Source organism: Homo sapiens, chromosome 6, assembly GCF_000001405.40.
Source record: "Homo sapiens chromosome 6, GRCh38.p14 Primary Assembly".
NCBI lineage: Eukaryota > Metazoa > Chordata > Mammalia > Primates > Hominidae > Homo > Homo sapiens.
The window spans coordinates 159,682,795-159,701,645 of record NC_000006.12 but is presented as its reverse complement, the minus strand read 5'-3'; the positions used below and the strand labels follow the sequence as shown (position 1 = coordinate 159,701,645).

The window sequence follows — 18,851 nt, the reverse complement described above, 5'->3', positions numbered from 1 at the left end:
TTTGCTTCATGGGCTTGTTTTTCCTTCGTCCCTGGATCAAATGCTGGTCCCATGACTTTTTTTTTTTTTTTTTTTTGAAACAGGGTCTCACTCTGTCACCAGGCTGGAGTGCAGTGGCATGATCGTGGCTCACTGCAACCTCGAACTCCTGGGCTCAGGTGATCCTCGGGCCTCAGCCTCCCAAGTAGCTGGGACTATAGGCATGTGCTATCACGCCCAGCTTGGTCCCGTGACCTTTTAAAAAATATATGTTCTTTAGTAATAAAAAGTCTTATAATCACTTTAAGTTAGAACACAGGCTCAATTCACTATCCAAAATGCTCCCATGTGAGAAGCAAAACTCTGAAAGTGATTTAAAGTCAAAACTTCATCACAGGCCTCTAGCAGGCCAGCAGCCTACAGAGGGAGAAAGATGTTGGCAGCTGGCAGGTGCCTTCTCTAGCGTCTTGCCTTCTGCTGCTGCTGCTCATCTTTGAGCATGCTAACCATGGTTTCTCAAATCTCCAGGGATTGGCCTGGAGAGGAAGCAGGTGTGGGGTTATATTTATATTGCTCACAGTGGTGGCATGTGGGTGGAATACAGGGAAATCTTACATATTGTCTTGCCTGACAGTTGCTTTAAGTGGACTCCTTCTCATGGTTTTGGAGACCACCCCATCACTGAGAATTTGTGTCTCCTAGAGTTCAGTCTAAAAGCCGAGATCCTACATTGTGTTCCAGGGAAGCTTAAGAAAATTAGGTCTCTGCTTGATTTGGAAAGCTTAGACTGAACCTAAATGAAAATCAGGTCAGTAAAAAGTCAGAGTTTAACAAAGATAGATGTTATGTCCCAGAGACCAGACATTTAAGCATTACTTTCAAAGTGCACTCAGAGAGATATTTGTTCTTCATTTAGTACTTAGAGACTAAGTCTTATCCATGCCATCAAAAAAATGGGAGTTGGAAAACATGCCACACATGTTAACAATGCATTGATTTTTTTTTTTTTTTTTTGAGACAGAGTCTCGCACGTCACCAAGACTGGAGTGCAGTGACGCAATCTTGGCTTACTGCAAGCTCTGCCTCCTGGGTTCATGCCATTCTCCTGCCTCAGCCTCCCGAGTAGCTGGGACTACAGGCGCCTGCCACCACACCCAGCTAATTTTTTGTATTTTTAGTGGAGATGGGGTTTTGCTGTGTCAGCCAGGATGGTCTCGATCGCCTGACCTTGTGATCCACCCACCTCGGCCTCCCAAAGTGCTCGGATTACAGGCGTGAGCCACCGCGCCTGGCCAACAATGCATTTTAACTTAAACCATGTAAATGAATTCAGATGAAGAACCAGAAAATTACTGGAGCTACTGCATCACCACACTAGTAATGTGTTGTCTCTAATTTCCATTAATTCTCTAAAGTGGAGTGGCATTTAAAGACACCTGGAAACCAATCTGATCCCTTAAATGTTTAATAATTGTCCCACTCTTAAATATGTTTTGTCCACATCTAACTGAACAGTGATCATTTTTAGTGGCTCACCTCTAGTGTACCAACATATAGCTGACTAGTTCCTCAAACTAAATATCTTTAGCATGAAAATGAAGTTTTATTTTATGCGATTTTATCTAATTTCTCACCAGAGGGTAAATGCAGATGTAAGCTGGCACGAGAGGAGGGTGATGCAGGCCAAGATGGATTGAGTCCTGGGAGTTGCCTGAGATGGGACATAGGTTCCCAGAAATACTGTGATATCAATACTGTTCTCAGTGGACCACAATCTGGCATGGACCTGGGTGGTATGCGAGGCCACTCCTCCTGTGTACCTATTTTGGCTGCTCCGAGTAGATGTACAGTGTGGAGTGCAGCCCCTGGGTTGTGCTGGCCCAGAGATTCAGCCAGCCAAGATCCTTATGCTTGCTCACAGCCCTCAGTGGTCTGGGCTACTCTTTAGTAGCTTGAGTAGCCCTTGAGAGTCATTCTTGGAACTGTGCACCTGAAATCAATCTTACTCCATGACAAATCCTGGGATATGAACTAGAAGTTGGCAGTTTAATAATGACAGATCCCACCCTTACATAGAATGCAGTGACCATGTTTGTTTTTTTTTTTCTCGTGGAGTAGTAATGGGGAAGAGGTGGTGTCCATTTCCATAAAGGAGGCAGGATGTTGCAGGAAGTCCTCATGAAAGGATCTTATGGAGGGCTCTGCCGGACTCTCAATATGGGACAACCCTTCTCTTTTGGCCTCCTGGGTCCCCAGCAAGTCTGAGTCTTTCACTAGACTAGGTTGGGAAGAATGAGCTGGGCCATTGTGAAGGGAAACTCCAGGAAGCTGGGTCTTCACTGAGGCTACAAAGCAAATGCCATCTAAGGGGCAGATGGACCAAGGTCAGGGCATAGAAGCAATGTCAAGCTTTAGGTCCAAGAGTGATGACCAGAGTCGTGTAAGAGATGGGACAGCAGGCCAATCAGGATTTGAGGAGATAGGGATAAGTTGGGAAGTTGTGTAGGGACAGAAGGAGGAAGAAAGTTTCAAATCTTGGGCTCCAATTAGATAAGGCTGGGCCCAATTCTTTTGGGTGTGAAAAATGTGGGAGAGGGAGTGGCAGCTGTTTAAAGGCACGGAGCTACACAGGTTTAACAGCAATACACTTGACCCTTGAACAACATGGGTTTGAACTGCATGGGTCCACTTCTATGTAGATTTTCTTCTGCCTCCACCCCCGCCCCCCACCCCCCAGACAGCAAGATCAACCTCTCTTCCTCAGCCTACTCACCATAAAGATGAGGAGGATGAAGACCTTTATGATGATCCACTTCTGCTTAATGAATAGTAAATATAATTTCTCTTCCTTGATTTTCTTATTTTTTTCTTTTCTCTAGCTTACTTTAAGAACACAATATTCATAAAAAATATGTGCTAATCAACTTTGTTATTGTCTTCTCTGTGATGTACAAACTTTATGTTATTGCCGGTCAACAGCAGGCTATTAGTGGTTAAGTTTTTGGGGAGTCAAAAGTTACAGTCAGATTTCTTTTCTTGTTTTTTTTTTTTTCTAAATGTTTTATTGGATTTTTTTTTTTTTTTTTTTTTTTTTTGAGACAAGGTCTCACTCTGTTACCCAGGCAGGAGTGCAGTGGCGCGATCTCAGCTCACTGCAACCTTTGCCTCCCAGGCTCAAGCGATTCTCCTGCCTCAGTCTCCTGAGTAACTGGGACTGCAGGTGCTTGCCACCATGCCTGGCTAATTTTTTGTTTGTTTTGAGATGGAGTCTCGCTCTGTTCCCCAGACTGGAGTGCAGAGTGCAGTGGCAGGATCTCAGCTCACTGCAGTCTCCACCTCCTGGGTTCAAGTGTTTTTTTTGTTTTGTTTTTTGTTTGTTTGTTTGTTTGTTTTTGACACTGAGTCCCACTCTGTCGCCCAGGCTGGAGTGCAGTGGCGAGATCTCAGCTCACTGCAGCTGCCGCCTCCCGGGTTCAAGCGATTCTTCTGCCTCAGCCTCCCAAGTAGCTGGGACTACAGGTGCGTGCCACCACGCCTAGCTAATTTTTGTATTTTTAGTAAAGACAGAGTTTCACCATATTGGCCAGGCTGGTCTCCAATTCCTGACCTCATGATCCACCTGCCTCAGCCTCCCAAAGTCCTGGGATTATAGGCGTGAGCCACTGGGCCCTGCCAATTTTTGTATTTTTAGTAGAGATGGGGTTTCACCATGTTGGCCAGGCTGATCTCGATTTCCCGACCTCAGATGATCCGCCCACCTCGGCCTCCCAAAGTGTTGGGATTACAGGCGTGAGCCATGGTGCTGGGCATATACGCAGATTTCTGACTGTGAAGGGACCAGCACCCCTGACACTGCATCATTCAGGGGTCAACTGTACATTCATATCCCCCTTACTACCTACTAGCTCTATGTGTGACCTTGGTCAAGTCACTGTCTTTGCTTACAGCAGGAATAAAGCATTTGACTTAGTAGCTAGCAACATGGAGGATCTGCTCAATGATGCCGACTCCCTTTGCCCTTTATGGACGTAATCAACTCATGATTACCTGCGACACATGCCCACTTTATCCCTTTGTTTAACAGAACACTTTTGTTCTGAACCAAGCTCCTCCTTTCCTTTCCAGTAGTTAATGTGTTCTTTGAGGATGCAATCTAATCGTAATTTTGCCCGAAGTGGGGAAAAAAATTAAGCTCACATTGAAACCTTAATATAGCTCTATAATCATTTTCTCTTTTAGCCTAGATCACTTCATTTTGGCAATTTAAGTACTACTTTTGGTCCTATTAACAATACCACTCTTGCAAAGGACAGGTTACAACCAATTCTCAGATTCCTGCCTGGATAAGATTTGTGACCCCAAATTTTAAAAAAGCAGAAAAAAACCCCACAAACCACAGGCAGGAAGAAAGAAAAACAAGAGAATGTAGCTAAGGTAATTCCATTAATGATCAGTTTATGTCAAAGCATGTGGAAATAATGCCTTATAGGAGGATATTTAGCAACAACGATTTTTTTAAACTCATTTTCTCCTGTAGGTACAGAATTGCAAGTTTTTTCTGACTTCAAATGTGTATAGCTGACTGCGTGTGTGTGTGTGTGTGTGTGTGTGTGTGTGTGTGTGTGTGTGTGTCAGGGTCTCCTTCTCTTGCCCAGACTGGAGTAAGGTGACATAATCATAGCTCATTGCAGCCATGAACTCTTGGGCTCAAGTGATCCTCCTGCCTTCAGCCTCCTGGCGTAGCTAGGACTGCAGGCACATGCTACCACACCCAGCTACTGTTTTTTGGTAGAGACAGAGTCTTGCTATGTTGCCTAAGCTGGTCTCAAACTCCTGGCCTCAAGCAATCTTCCCACCTCAGCCTCTCAAAGAGCTGGGATTACAAGCATGAACCACTGCACCTGGCCCCATACCTGACTACATTTCTCAGCTTCCTTTGTGGCTAGGCTGTGCTAGGTAGCCTTGTACCTAAATTTTGACCAGTGAGCAGCAAGTGGAATTTGTTGGATGAATCTACCACAAAGGATCCTTACAATGGAGATAGTGGGGCCAGGCATGGTGGCTCATGCCTGTAATCCCAGCACTTTGGGAGGCTGAGGCAGGCAGATCACTTCAGTCTAGGAGTTCGAGACCAGCCTGGCCAACATGGTGAAACCCCATCTCCACTAAAAATACAAAAATTAGCCAGGCATGGTGGCACGCACCTGTAATCCCAGCTACTCAGGAGGCTAAGGCAGGAGAATCACTTGAACTCAGGAGGTGGAGGTTGCAGTGAGCCGAGATCGCACCACTGCACTCCAGCCCAGCAACAAAGCAAGACTCTTGATTCGGAAAGAAAAAATAAAAAAAGGTTGGGGGAGACAGTGGGAGCCCAGACTTTTGTCCTTCCCCTTGCCTAGAAGGGAGATGAGGTTGCTGGTGCTGTGGAAGCTATTATGGACCATGAGGCAGCTTTGAAGACAGAAAGCCTGCATCCTTGATGACTCAATGGAATTTCATCCCAACCCAGGACTGACTGCCCCAGATCTTTGTTACATGAGGGAATACACTCTTCTGTGTTTAAGAAACTGTGGTTGGATCTGTTACTGGAATATGAATGCAGTTAATAACTGGCTCAAAATGACTTCATCTCAACCCACATTGGTTGCTTCTTCCAAACAATATATAGGTCTGTACTGTGGTGGGTCTCAGGATGGCTGTGATGTAGCCTTAGGAAGTTTATCTATGGGAAATCCATATTCATGGTGTCCTGATGTTGCAGAGGACATCCTGAGCTGGCTGGAGTAACTTGGGACACAGGTCAATCGACTGTAATCTAACTTCTGAGGCCATTCAGTACCCTCTACAGTGGCCACCTAAAAAAAAGGCAGCCAGGTGTGGTGGCTCAAGCCTATATAGATCCCAGAACTTTGGAAGGCTGAGGTGGGAGGATCACTTGAGCCAAGGAGTTTGAGGCCAGCCTGGGCAACATGAAGAAACTCTGTTTCTACAAAAAATAAAAAAAATTAGCCAGGCATGGTGGTATGCACCTGTAGTTCCAGCTTCTTGGGAGGCTGAGGTGGAAGAATGACATGAGCCCAGCAAGTCGCTGCAATCAGCCGTGATCACGCCGCTGCACTCCAGCCTGGGCGACAAAAAGAAAAAGAAAACGGAGCCTGTTCACTGGGTGTGGTAGACAAGGTAAACTTTTCTTTACCTCCCATATCCCACAACCTTGGATGTGCTCACAGTCATGGTAGTGTTTTGTAATGATGTAGCTGATGACAGGTGTGATGTTGGAGATTCTTCTACCTGACTGCTGCTATCAGTCCTACCAGCCCCCAACGTTTGGTGCTTGTTCTAAAGGGCATGTCCTAGGAGTCGCTTTAAACTCTCAAAGTATCACTCTCTATACAAACAAGAAGTGCAAGTAAGTAGCCTGAGCTCAGCCTCCCAATAGGAATATTTCATTATCACTAGATCAAGTCTTTCCATTACAATGACTGATCTGTCTCTGAATCCTGTGGATTCATCCTTCAAAATGCCCTTTTCTTCCAGTTCTCATAGCTAGTGCCCTAAAAGTGACCTGCAGTACCTCCTGCTGAGACGAATGTACCAGCTTCCTAACTAGCCTGCACTCCCTTCATCCCCCCAAGTCAGTGCCAGACCACCTTGCCTGAAAAACCACTTTCAGTGTGTCTCACCTCAGCAGAAATGTTTCTCAGCTTCCAATTAACAATCACATCAAACCCCTGCTCTTGTCTGCGTTTTAAGGGTATCTATAGGCCGGGCGCCGTGGCTCCTACCTGTAATCCCAGCACTTTGGAAGGCCGAGGCGGGCAGATCACTTGAGGTCAGGCGTTCGAGACCATCCTGACCAACATAGTGAAACCCCGTCTCTACCAAAAATACAAAAAAAAAAAAAATAGTGGGGCGTGGAGGTGCACGCCTGTAATTCCAGCTACTCGGGAGGCTGAGGCAGGAGAATCGCTTGAACCCGGGAGGCAGAGGTTCCAGTGAGCCGACATCGCGACACAGTACTCCAGCCTGAGCGACAGAGCGAGGCTGTGTCTCAAAAATAAATAAATAATAAATTAAAAAAATAAGAGTATCTATAACCTGGTCCCAGCCTGAATTTCCTTTTTCACCCCAACACGTAGCCCTAGTTACATTCTTCTGACGTCTGTAAACAAGCCCAGCCCTTCCTGTTGTGAAGCCAAGTTCAGGTGGTTCCTCTTCGCCTGACTGTTTTCCCATTCCACTTACCGGAAGCCTAGTCATCCTTCGGAGGGCTGTACGGGGGTTGCAAGAAGCAACGGAAACGGTTCAGCACCTGCTACCTTCCATCATATTCTTTTCAATAAAGGGGCAACTCCCGCCAATGGCAGTGTAGATTTCCTAACCTCTACACATGGAAGATTCACACCATTCAGGATTGTTGTTTAACTGTTGAGAGAGCACTTGATACTTAACAGCTTACTAGGCTACAAGACAGCGCAGGAAAGAATCCTCTGTTGTCCTTTTATGTTATCCTGAACAGTTGGTTCACAGAGTTACTGTAAACACACAAAACATGACTGCCAGGGCTTAGTAGTGAGGAAGGTGGGAACTAGTCCTGACTCAGTTAACTGTGCCCAGGAGAAGCTGCTTAACCTCAAAGGATTTCACTATTACTAGAATCAATAATACCAACCCTAGGGGTAAAAATAAAGATAAATGTGTGCAAATCCTGCCTGCAGTCTCGGGCACGTCGTGGGTGTCCAAGAACTGTTCTTAGGCAGCCGGTGGGGACAAAGTCTGTGTGCCTCCTGTCCTGGAATAGGTCCCAAGGTCGGCTTACTTGCAAAGCAAGGGTACGGCGCAAGAGTACTGAATACGGGTTGGAAGGGCGCTGGCTCTACCCTCAGCTCATAGGCCGGCTGGGCGGCGCTGACCAGCAGCTAGGCCCCGTCTTCCCTAGGAACGGCCACGGGGGCCCTGGGAGGGTATGAATGTCTTTTTGCAGTGAGGCCTCTGGACCCCGCGGCCCCCCGGCAGCGCAACCAAAACTCAGGGGCAGGCGCCGCAGCCGCCTAGTGCAGCCAGATCCCCGCCGGCACCCTCAGGGGCGGAGCCGGAGGCAGGGCCTTCGGGCCGTACCAACTCCACGGGGGCAGGGGCCGCCTCCCTTCGGCCGCGCGCCACTCAAGTACGGCAGACAGGCAGCGAGGTTGCCGAGGCCGAGGCTAGCCTGCAGCCTCCTTTCTCCCGTGCCCTGGGCGCGGGGTGTACGGCAAGCGCGGGCGGGCGGGACAGGCACGCAGGGCACCCCCGGGGTTGGGCGCGGCGGGCGCGGGGCGGGGCCCGCGGGGGGGGGGGGCGGGGCGGCGGTGCCCTTGCGGCGCAGCTGGGGTCGCGGCCCTGCTCCCCGCGCTTTCTTAAGGCCCGCGGGCGGCGCAGGAGCGGCACTCGTGGCTGTGGTGGCTTCGGCAGCGGCTTCAGCAGATCGGCGGCATCAGCGGTAGCACCAGCACTAGCAGCATGTTGAGCCGGGCAGTGTGCGGGTGAGAAGAAAGGGGACCCGGTCACGGCCCCAAGGGCGAAGGGGCTCGCGGCGGGCAGGGCCTCCGCGGCAATGGCGACAGTGGCCGCACCGGGCCTGGCGGGACCGGGGCACCTGCAGGCGGTTCTCCCGGGAGTGCCCGGCGCGGCGGCTGGAGCGGGGATCCGCAGGGAGGGGACGCGGGGACTCGGGGGACGCCGCGCGCTGCCGTTCCTCGGCAGCCCAGCCTGCGTAGACGGTCCCGCGGCGCTGACTGACCGGGCTGTGCTTTCTCGTCTTCAGCACCAGCAGGCAGCTGGCTCCGGTTTTGGGGTATCTGGGCTCCAGGCAGAAGCACAGCCTCCCCGACCTGCCCTACGACTACGGCGCCCTGGAACCTCACATCAACGCGCAGATCATGCAGCTGCACCACAGCAAGCACCACGCGGCCTACGTGAACAACCTGAACGTCACCGAGGAGAAGTACCAGGAGGCGTTGGCCAAGGGTAGGTTCCAGGCTGAGCGGCGGGAGGCAGTCCCCGGCAGAGGCGACCCCAGGGAGCCAGGCCCCATACGGACGGGCCTCTCCGTGGAGGAGAACTCGCTTCGTATTTGTACCGGTTCCGAGTTTTCCAGGCACGATAGTCTCTCTTTTAAACACATGGTCTACCTCATTGTAGAAGGAGTGCCTCGATGGGTTTGAACACACTTCTGTCATCTCAGGGAACTTGGGGTCCTGCGAAGGAGCTTGCCTTACTGTTGTGAGCCACATTCCGTTACACATATTGCCAGCACTGGTGAATTGTAGGGCCTGAAAAGAAAGCTCTACTGTGTCACTCGTTTTTTTTGCAAATTGAAATTGTTCTTGTTGTATAATGTGCTTTGGGGAAATGTTTGGTCTCTCAGGTAGGTGTGCCAGCCGTTTGCAGGAGGGCTGAGAGCGCCTGTCCACTGGTGGCCAGACATCATCGGGTCCGCAGGTGTCTCTGAGTGTCAGGGTCACCTCCTGATAGAAGTGGGAGTGGTGTCTTACTGCCAGGTCACACTGAAGGTGGGAGACAGGAGGACACTACTCCGTGCTAGGAACCATGGTCCTTGTCATCTTCCTGAGAGCAAACGGGGTCGGGACTCCAGCCTAGGACTTGGAGACTCCCTGCATCCCCAGCTACCCTGCAGGTGAAACTTCACTGAGCCCACTTGACTTCAGGTGGGAGAGGAGGAGGCACACCGTTGTGGTGTGCGTTACCAAAAAAGCAGTAACCTAACTGTGGAACAGTTCAGGATCTTTAGACTTGATACTTTTCTTGATTTCCCTTAGGGGTCAAAGTTCACAAGGAAAATAGCCCTTTAGTGGGAAACTGAAACAGGCTTGTTTTTATTTACTATTTACTCATATTTGTAATGCAATTAAAATATATGTTGTTAACTTTTTTTTTTTTTCTCAAGAGCTCGGTTGATAAAACCAGGGGTATGTGGACTTTTTGAGTCTGTGCCTTTTGGGGGTGTGTATGGGAATGTTATGTTTTAACGTTTTTTACAAAATAGTATTGTCTTTTTAATTTATTCGTTAGTGGTTTGCACAAGGAAGATAATCGATAGTCATGTTTTTTAGACTCTCTGTATTGCTTGGTAAGCTACGTAGTAAAAAATGTTTACTTTTCCTTAAATGTTTTGAATTTCGGGGTTATGAAATTTGTTGAGTAATTTTTAGACAGTCACATCTTGTTGACTGGAGGCATCTAGTGGAAAAATGCAGTATTTCAGCCTGATTGTGTTTGAAGTAAATGATTAAAAGAGGAGGAAGTTACCACATTCTGGAAGATTTACTTGAGACAGACGAACCTTGAATTACGGGAAAAGGCCCCGTGATTTAGGAAATAACAAATTTGGGAAACATGTAATGGGGAGAGACTGGGGAATACCCCAGTTGTGAAAGTACTTCCTGTAAGGCAACATCTGACACCAGGAACCTTTCTCTTCAGTATTTTAAAAACAACTTAATTTCAGTCCTTTACTTGTGGAATCAGAGCCTTACTTATGTAATACAACCCACTGGAAAAAAGCTTTTTATTGTATTGTACTATATTGTTTATAAGTGATTGAGTACCTGCAGAGCTTTCTTTTACTTAAACATATTTTAAAAATTATTAAAAAGATTTTCATGTTTGAAAACTTGGGGAAAAAAGATAAAACAATGTCATAATCTCATCACATTTAACTGACTAATATGAATATTTTTCAACAAAAAGCATTTGACTTTTATTATTATTTGAGGCAAAAACTAAACTGAAACCAAATAAAATGTTGAATTTCAGAAAAGTGTTCTTAAAAGCAGATATTAAGCCCTCAATTTTTATTAATTTTAAAATGAGTAAGCAAACTGTAAGATGTTAAGATTATTAAATTATCTCTCATTAAGCATGTATCTTTCCCATTTTAAAAATTCAGTTACTATTGATTTATTAAAAAACAATAGAAAAGTTACATCTATTTTTAGAGTGACTCTCAAGAAAATTTAATAAGGGAAACACAGATCTATAAAAAACTGTTTGTAAACCTAACAAAGGAAAAAAAAAGTTGGTGTCTTTAAAAAACCCTTTGAGATTAGCTGTGTATTCAGATATCAGTTGGTTCTCTCCTTTCTGAATCGCTAAACAACTGGAGCTTGTTTCAGAAAGCAGCATTGTCTACGTATGTTCCTTTTAAAAATTTTTTTTTTAATTCTGTCTAAAAAAAACAGACGGGGTCACACTATGTTGCCCAGGCTGCTCTTGAATTCCTGGGCTCCCCTATCCACGCACCTCGGCCTTCCAGAGTGCTGGGATTACAGGTGTGAGCCACCGTGCCTAGTCAGACATACTTTTTTTTTTTTTTTTTTTTTTGACGGAATCTCAGTCTGTCCCGCAGGTTGGAGTGCAGTGATGTGATCTCGGCTCACTACAACCTCCGTCTCCTGGGTTCAAGCAATTCTCCTGCCTCAGCCTCCTGAGTAGCTGGGATTACAGGCGTACGCCACCACGCCTGGCTACTTTTTGTGGGTTTTTTAGTAGAGACAGGGTTTTTCCATGTCGTCCAGGCTGGTCTGGAACTCCTGACCTCAAGTGATCCGCCCATCTCAGCCTCCCAAAGTGCTGGGATTACAGGCGTGAGCCACCTCACCTGGCCTTGTATGTATGTTTTTTTCTTTCTCTTTCTTTTTTTTTTTCTGTGACGGAGTATTGCCCTGTCGCCCAGGCTGGAGTGCAGTGGCGTGTTCTTGGTTCACTGCAACCTCTGCCTCCTGGGTTCAAGCCATTCTCCTGCCTCATGCTCCTGAGTAGCTGGGATTATAGGCACGCGCCACCATACCTGGCTAATTTCTGTATTTTTAGTGAAGACAGGGTTTCACCATGTTGGCCAGGCCGGTCTTGAAATCCTGACCTGAAGAGAGCTGCCCGCCTCGGCTTCCCAAAGTGCTGAGATTACAGGCGTGAGCCACCGCACCCGGCCCAGACATATGTTCTTAACGTACACTTTCAGAACAGCAGTTGAGAACTTTTTCCAAAATGTAAGCTCCTTGAGAGCAAAGCTCTCAGTGGGTCTCTGTGTCCTTTACTTTGCTTCTCTTGGTATCTTGTGGATAATATGCACAAAATATTTATTAAACAAGAGGATTTCCATTTTTTTCTAATATTAATAGTTCATTTAGTCTGTAGCTTCTTGAAGGCATAGAAAAGACTATTTTATTTTGCCTACTTATTTGGCAAGGTACCCATGCAGTATGCCAGGAGTTACAGGGCCTATTGAGAAGGAGTAAAGGGTCTGGGAGGGGTGGCAGGGAGTTGCTAATTCATGTATGGTGGCTAGAGAAGGCTTCACTGATGGGGTTGATGTTTCAGTGGAGACTTGAAGGAGGAACAGGAACGCAGCATGAGACTGTCTTGGGGAAGAGTGTTCAGCAGAGGCAGCAGTGCTCAGCTAGCCTTGAGGGGAACATCCAAGTTGGTCATGTGAGTGCAAAAAGGCCAGTGAGGCTGCAGCTGCGTGAGCACGTGCTCAATGACGGGGTCAAGTGCAGCGCCTCTTGGTAGTAAGAGTAGCTGAGTGTAAACACCTAGGGTTCGCTCCAGTGAGAAGGGGAGCCTTTGGAGGGGGCAAGGCCCACCCCCACCCCCCAAAACTGAGGGGATAGTGGCACCAGTGCAGTGAGAAATACTGGTCCTCTGTCCCAATGAGGTGGCAGTAGAGTTAGGGAGAAGGGATTAGGTTCTGCTTGTGTTTTATTTTTTTCTTTTATTTTTCTCTGTGTGCTTTTATATAGATTGGATGTATTTTAAAGGTAGAGCTGGCTTTGCTAATGGATATGCTGGTGGATTGGATGTGGGGTGAAGGGAGAGGAGTCAAAAATGACATCAGGTTCCCAAGGATGTCCTGAGGGACAGAGCTGGCATTTACTGAGACGTGGAGGACAATAGGAGGAGTAAGTTTGGGGTAGAACATCAGGAGTTCAATTTTGAGTATGTTGAGTTTCTTGTTAATGTGACTTGGAGATATTTCCCAATGAATCGTCGTCTGTCTTGAAAGTGAGAGTTGAAGGTTTTCTGTACAGTCTGTATGTTGAGCCATACATTTTAGCATTCTATTATTTTGATTGTCCTCTTTGGTGTTTCATTTCCTAAAATCTCTTCTATCTAAGAGATCCCTGAGCCTAGCAGCCAGGAGTGAATTTTCTAGCTTTTCCACCTCTGCTAGGTCCTTCATCAGTTGTTCAGCATGTCTGGGACAAATAATTTTGGGGCGGGGGGGTGCTGAATTTTAGGACAAACGGATGTTATAGATAAGCTGGTCCCATTATCTAATAGCTTACAAAGAAAAAAATATAATGTATACAGTGGTTGAAAAAGTAGGAGTTACAAAAAAATGTGTTTGCATTTTAACTTTTCAGGAGATGTTACAGCCCAGATAGCTCTTCAGCCTGCACTGAAGTTCAATGGTGGTGGTCATATCAATCATAGCATTTTCTGGACAAACCTCAGCCCTAACGGTGGTGGAGAACCCAAAGGTTGGTATATATTGGTGCACCCTTATCTACATTTTGTGCACAGTAGGAATCGATTGTTGATTTACTGAAGTTACCTTATACTTGTTTTTTGTTTTTTTTGTTGTTGTTTTTTTGAGACAAGAGTTTTGCTCTTGTTGCCCAGGCTGGAGTACAGTGGCGCAGTCTTGGCTCACTGCAACCTCCGCTTCCTGGGTTCAAGTGATTCTCCTGCCTCAGCCTCCCAAGTAGCTGGGATTACAGGCGCCCGCCACCACGCCTGGCTAATTTTTGCATTTTTAGTAGAGATGAGGTTTCATTCACCATGTTGGCCAGGCTGGTCTTGAACTCCTGACCTCATGATCTGCCCACCTTGGCCTCCCAAAGTGCTGGGATTACAGGCATGAGCCACCGTGCCTGGCCTAAGTTACCTTATTCTTACCAGAGGTATCATAGTGGCATATTTTTCATAACAACGAGTATGATAAAAGTTGTAACTTTCAAAAGGACACAAGTAGGAATGGAGAATGCTTTCATGGGGTTATGTCATAAGATTTTATGTTCACGCCAACATAGAATATCACATCAACTCCACCTTCTGGTTTCTGGATGGTACTTCATATTAGGGAAAGACTGAGAGACTTCATTTTATGAACTTTTTTTTTTTGAGACGGAGTCTTACAGTCGCCCAGGCTGGAGCGCAGTGGTGCAATGTCGGCTCATTGCAACCTCCGCCTTTCAGGTTCATGCAATTCTTGTGTCTCAGCCACCCAAGTAGCTGGGATTACAGGCATGTGGCATCACTCCCGGCTAATTTTTATATTTTTGGTAGAGACAGGGTTTCACCATGTTGGCGGGGCTGGTCTCGAACTCCTGGCCTCAAGTGATCCACCCACCTTGGCCTCCCAAAGTGCTGTGGTATGGATGTGAGCCACCGCGCCAGTCTAGAAAAGATGAACTTTCTGTCTACTAGTTTCTAGGGCCTGGATTAGATAGTTAACCGTCTGTACCTTTTTTCATCTATGTGATACAGGGATAACAATGGTGTTGTTTTGAGAATTAAATTATAGTGTCATTTGCTATTTTTCACTCTTTCCTAACTGATAAAAAGTCAGTTGTTCCAGGAAATTAGGTTTTCTGGGTATTTTTAAAAAGTGTTCAGGGAATGAGGAGAGTACAGGGCTAGATGGTCTTGTTCGCTATCACTGTTTCCTTGACTTCCTGTGTAGCTTGTGGAGGCCCAGATGACTTTAATTATCTTCTTCACCCAGGGAGGGCATGAGGCGTAAATGTAGTTCTTGTCTCTTGTTTCTGGGCTCCGGATATGCACCCTAAGTTTCTGTGGTTTTATTGTTCATTTTTAATCAGTGTTATGGAAGGCAGCCTATCTTATGCACTTGAAATAAGCAATTTCATTTTAAGGTAATGATGAATGAGGAGAGTAAGCTTGGGAAACTGGGCAACTTTTTCTTTATTTTTGTTTTTATTTATTATTATTTTGGAGATGGAGTTTAGCTCTTTCGCCCAGGCTACAGTGAAGTGGCTTGATCTTGGCTCACTGCAGCCTCTGCCCATCCCGGGTTCAAGTGATTCTCTGCCTCAGCCTCCCGAGTAGCTGGGATTATAGGTGCCTGCCACCATGCCCGGCTAATTTTTTTGTATTTTTAGTAGAGAGGAGTTTCTCCATGTTGGTCAGGCTGGTTTTGAACTCCTGACCTCAGGTGATCCACCTGTCTCGGCCTCCCAAAGTACTAAGATTACAGGTGTGAGCCACCGTGCCTGGCCAACTTATTTTTTTTCTGAGTTCAGTCTTCTAGACTATCGGTTAATACTTTTGAAGTTTTGTCAGTTACCAGAATATCAGATATATTCATATGCAACCAGTGGTTTTGGTATGCTGCCATTTTTGTTTAATCTGTACCACATTCCATCATTTGTGCTTATAAAGATGATTACTTTTAAACCCGTAGAATAAGAGAAGTGAGATTTTGACCCAGTTGATTTAGTTGATGTGACTAATCTAGAATTATATTCTGTATTACTACAGAATAAAAGGATTACAGCTCTTAAAGTATACCCTTAGTTCAGTCGTAGAGAAAACTGCCCATCAAGACAGGAAGAGCTGGGCTGCCTTGGAGAAGAACAATGACTTTATTCCCAAATGGAGGCGTAGAAGAAGGAGGGTAGAAGTCAAAGGAAAATTTTCTATTCAGGGAAAAGAAAAAGCTAACAGAAAGTAGTATTTCTTTCCTAACAAAGATAGTACAGTGAGTGGGGAAATCCCTCTAACACGATTCATTAAAAAATGTGAACTACGCAGCTGGAGGCCATTATCCTAAGCGAATTAACCCAGGAACAGAAAACCAAATACCACATGTCTCACTTGCAAGTGGAAGCTAAACATGGAGTACTTATGGATATAAAAATGGCAGCAACAGACACTGAGGACAGAGCAGGGAGGGAGAAAGAAGGGGACGGGGGGTGAAAACTGTTGTATACTAAGCTCGCTACCTGGGTGATGGCATCAATTGCACCCCAGACCTCAGCATCATATGATACCCGTGTAACAAACCTGTGCGTGTACCCTCTGAATTTAAAATAAAATTTGAACCGGGCACGGTGGCTCACGCCTGTATTCCCAGCACTTTGGGAGGCCAAGGCGGGTGGATCACCTGAGGTTGGGAGTTTGAGACCAGCCTGACCAACATGGAGAAACCCTGTCTCTACTAAAAACACAAAATTAGCCGGGCGTGATGGCACGTGCCTGTAATCGCAGCTGCTCGGGAGGCTAAGGCAGGAGAATTGCTTGAACCTGGGAGGCAGAGGTTGCAGTGACCCGAGATCATGGCATTGCACTCCAGCCTGGGCAACAAGAGTGAAACTCCGTCTCAAAAGGTAAAAAATGAAAAAAAAAAAAAAAAAAAAAAAAAGTTGAAGTTATAAAAAACAAAAACGTGAATTAAAATTGTGAAACTTAGATCCAGGTGTCGCATTCTGATGTTGTCTAATTTCTTGGGCCCTATGACAAAAATATTTTAATACATGTAATATAACATTTTACTGTAATTATTGAAATCTGTTCATTTGTGGGTGGTTTTGGATTTTTTTTTTAATAGGGGAGTTGCTGGAAGCCATCAAACGTGACTTTGGTTCCTTTGACAAGTTTAAGGAGAAGCTGACGGCTGCATCTGTTGGTGTCCAAGGCTCAGGTTGGGGTTGGCTTGGTTTCAATAAGGAACGGGGACACTTACAAATTGCTGCTTGTCCAAATCAGGATCCACTGCAAGGAACAACAGGTTAGATTTAAAAATTGTGATTTCATTTGGGAGAGATGCTCTACTGTAAAGCATTCAACTAGAAATAAGGAAAACTAACAGTGTTTTAAGAACATGTAATAATTTGCAAATCTTAACAGATAACACCCAGAGTCTTGTGTAAGTAAAAATGTTTTAGAAGTCCTGATATTTCATAAAATTAAGTACACGTAATTTTATAGGTACATTAACAAACATGTTTTATTTTTATTTATTTTTTTTGAGACAGATCTCACTGTTGCCCAGGCTGGAGTGCAGTGGTGCGATCTCGGTTCACTGCAACCTCCGCCTCCTGGGTTCAAGTGATTCTCCTGCCTCAGCCTCCCAAATAGCTGGGATTACAGGCACATACCACCATGCCCAGCTAATTTTTGTGTTTTTAGTACAGACAGGGTTTCACCATGTTGGCCAGGCTGGTCTTGAACTCCTGACCTCAGGTATCTGCCTGCCTCGGCCTCCTGAAGTGCTGGGATTACAGGCATGAGCCACCATGCCCAGCCAAATGTTTTACTTATTAACCCTGCTTCATTCTACAGAGAATTAATATCAGCTTAGATAATTATATGTACTAAAATAAAAAAAAAATTAGCTATAGAACAAGAGTGAGGAAAAGAAATACAAGCAGAGACTGATTTCAGAGCTTGTACTGTTACCTCCTCTGCTGAGCATTTGAGGTTAAACTGGGACTAGATCTCAGGTTTCCAGACCTTCTGCCTTTCTGGGGCTCTTTGGTAGAGTATATGAAAATATTCGGCTTGGAAGTGCCAGGCTGGGCTCACCAAATACTTTGCTGTTGAGCCTAATTGGATTTAAAAAATGTCACTGAAGAGTATGGGAAATAGAGCCATGAGTTGTCTGGCAGAGGGTTGGGACTTTGAACTTAAAGTGATACCTTCACATCAACAACAGTCATTCTCTGCCCCTTCTTCTACCCCTGACATTGGAATACTCTTGATCTGTGGCTCACTTCACAGGATAGACCCAGATTTTGGCAGAATCTGAACAGCTCTTTTGGGACAGTGACATGGCATAACAATTTGTAAAAGCCACAAAAAATTTGTAAGCACCGATCTGTAGAGTCAGGTTATTTGTAGAGCTGCATGACCAGAAAGGCTGATATTTGTAAGTGAGTCCCAGCTACACTCCTTCCTCTCCCTGTGGAAAGCACATTAGAAGGAAAATGAGGGAATGTCATGGCCTTTTGTTTATAAAAATCATTAATAAATTTTGCTACTTGAAATTATTAATAATAAATTACTAGTGACCTCCCTCACAACTGATCAAGACATACTGGTTAAGAATTGTTTTTGTAGAGAGAGCTATAATTTATTTTGAGTGTTTTTGTGTGTGCGTGATGGAGTCTCACTCTGTTGCCCAGGCTGGAGTGCAGTGGCGCAATCTTGGCTCACTACAACTTCCGCCTCCCAGGTTCAAGCAATTCTCCTGCGTCAGCTTCCTGAGTAGCTGGGATTACAGGCGCCTGCCACCTCGCCAGGCTAATTTTTTGTATTTTTAGTAGAGGCGGGGTTTCACCATGTTGGCCAGGCTGGTCTCGAACGCCTGACCTCAAGAGATCTGCCTGCCTCGGCCTCCCAAAGTGCTGGGATTACAGGCCTGAGCCACTGCGCCCAGACCAAAAGTTTTTTTAAATGGATGTTTTACAGATAGAACTAAATTCTTCATTTACCTCACTTAATTTCTGAAAACACTGTGTCCTCCAACTGCTCTGTATTCCCAAAGATTAAAATTAGCCTTGGGGAGCAGAGCTGGTTCCTCGTAAACCCCTGTGAGTGCCCAGACCCTTTGGAGGAGGTTCTCAGTGGGCTTTTGCCTGCTCCCACAGATGTAACCCACCCTTCCTGCTGCTCCTAAGACCACCATGAGGAAGGCTGGGAATTGGCTCTTGAATTAATTTGTTGGTATTTTTAAGAATAGCTATTAAAGTACTGTTGTTAATTTTCCCAAGTCTATTTTATTGTTAGTATTTGTCACATTTTCTTTGTAAACAGTGAATTAAAAATATTTTATAGGAATATTCATT

General features: G+C 45.7%; 1 protein-coding gene across 9 annotated transcripts in view, besides 5 other annotated features; it reads left to right on the top strand.

Moving 5' to 3' along the window:
* SOD2 (superoxide dismutase 2) overlaps window positions 1–18,851 on the top strand; it is a 93,213-nt gene that overhangs the window by 60,636 nt on the left and 13,726 nt on the right. For 3 of the 9 annotated variants that reach the window (NM_001322819.2, NM_001322820.2, NM_001322817.2), the window contains 3 exons: window positions 8,783–8,985; window positions 13,404–13,520; window positions 16,613–16,792. In NM_001322819.2, the coding sequence (NP_001309748.1) occupies window positions 8,898–8,985; window positions 13,404–13,520; window positions 16,613–16,792 (385 nt within the window). In that variant the 5' untranslated portion in view covers window positions 8,783–8,897. Of the gene's footprint in view, window positions 1–8,404; window positions 8,502–8,782; window positions 10,728–13,403; window positions 13,521–16,612; window positions 16,793–18,851 lie in introns of those variants that run through there. The other 6 variants (NM_000636.4, NM_001024465.3, NM_001322814.2 and 3 more) reach the window with 4 other exon arrangements.
* Window positions 7,203–7,372: a silencer, noted in NCBI's record as "fragment chr6:160115306-160115475 (GRCh37/hg19 assembly coordinates)". NCBI's record gives its function as "represses an EF-1alpha promoter that drives an FKBP-Casp9 reporter gene in an ReSE screen in HepG2 liver carcinoma cells {active_cell/tissue: HepG2}" and the evidence as "EXISTENCE:reporter gene assay evidence [ECO:0000049][PMID:32094911]".
* Window positions 8,053–8,342: a silencer, noted in NCBI's record as "silent region_17752". NCBI's record gives its function as "represses an Ori minimal core promoter by ATAC-STARR-seq in GM12878 lymphoblastoid cells {active_cell/tissue: GM12878}" and the evidence as "EXISTENCE:reporter gene assay evidence [ECO:0000049][PMID:35858748]".
* Window positions 8,543–8,722: a silencer, noted in NCBI's record as "silent region_17751". NCBI's record gives its function as "represses an Ori minimal core promoter by ATAC-STARR-seq in GM12878 lymphoblastoid cells {active_cell/tissue: GM12878}" and the evidence as "EXISTENCE:reporter gene assay evidence [ECO:0000049][PMID:35858748]".
* Window positions 9,093–9,162: an enhancer, noted in NCBI's record as "active region_25388". NCBI's record gives its function as "activates an Ori minimal core promoter by ATAC-STARR-seq in GM12878 lymphoblastoid cells {active_cell/tissue: GM12878}" and the evidence as "EXISTENCE:reporter gene assay evidence [ECO:0000049][PMID:35858748]".
* Window positions 14,079–14,329: a silencer, noted in NCBI's record as "fragment chr6:160108349-160108599 (GRCh37/hg19 assembly coordinates)". NCBI's record gives its function as "represses an EF-1alpha promoter that drives an FKBP-Casp9 reporter gene in an ReSE screen in phorbol 12-myristate 13-acetate-treated (for megakaryocytic differentiation) K562 erythroleukemia cells {active_cell/tissue: K562(+PMA)}" and the evidence as "EXISTENCE:reporter gene assay evidence [ECO:0000049][PMID:32094911]".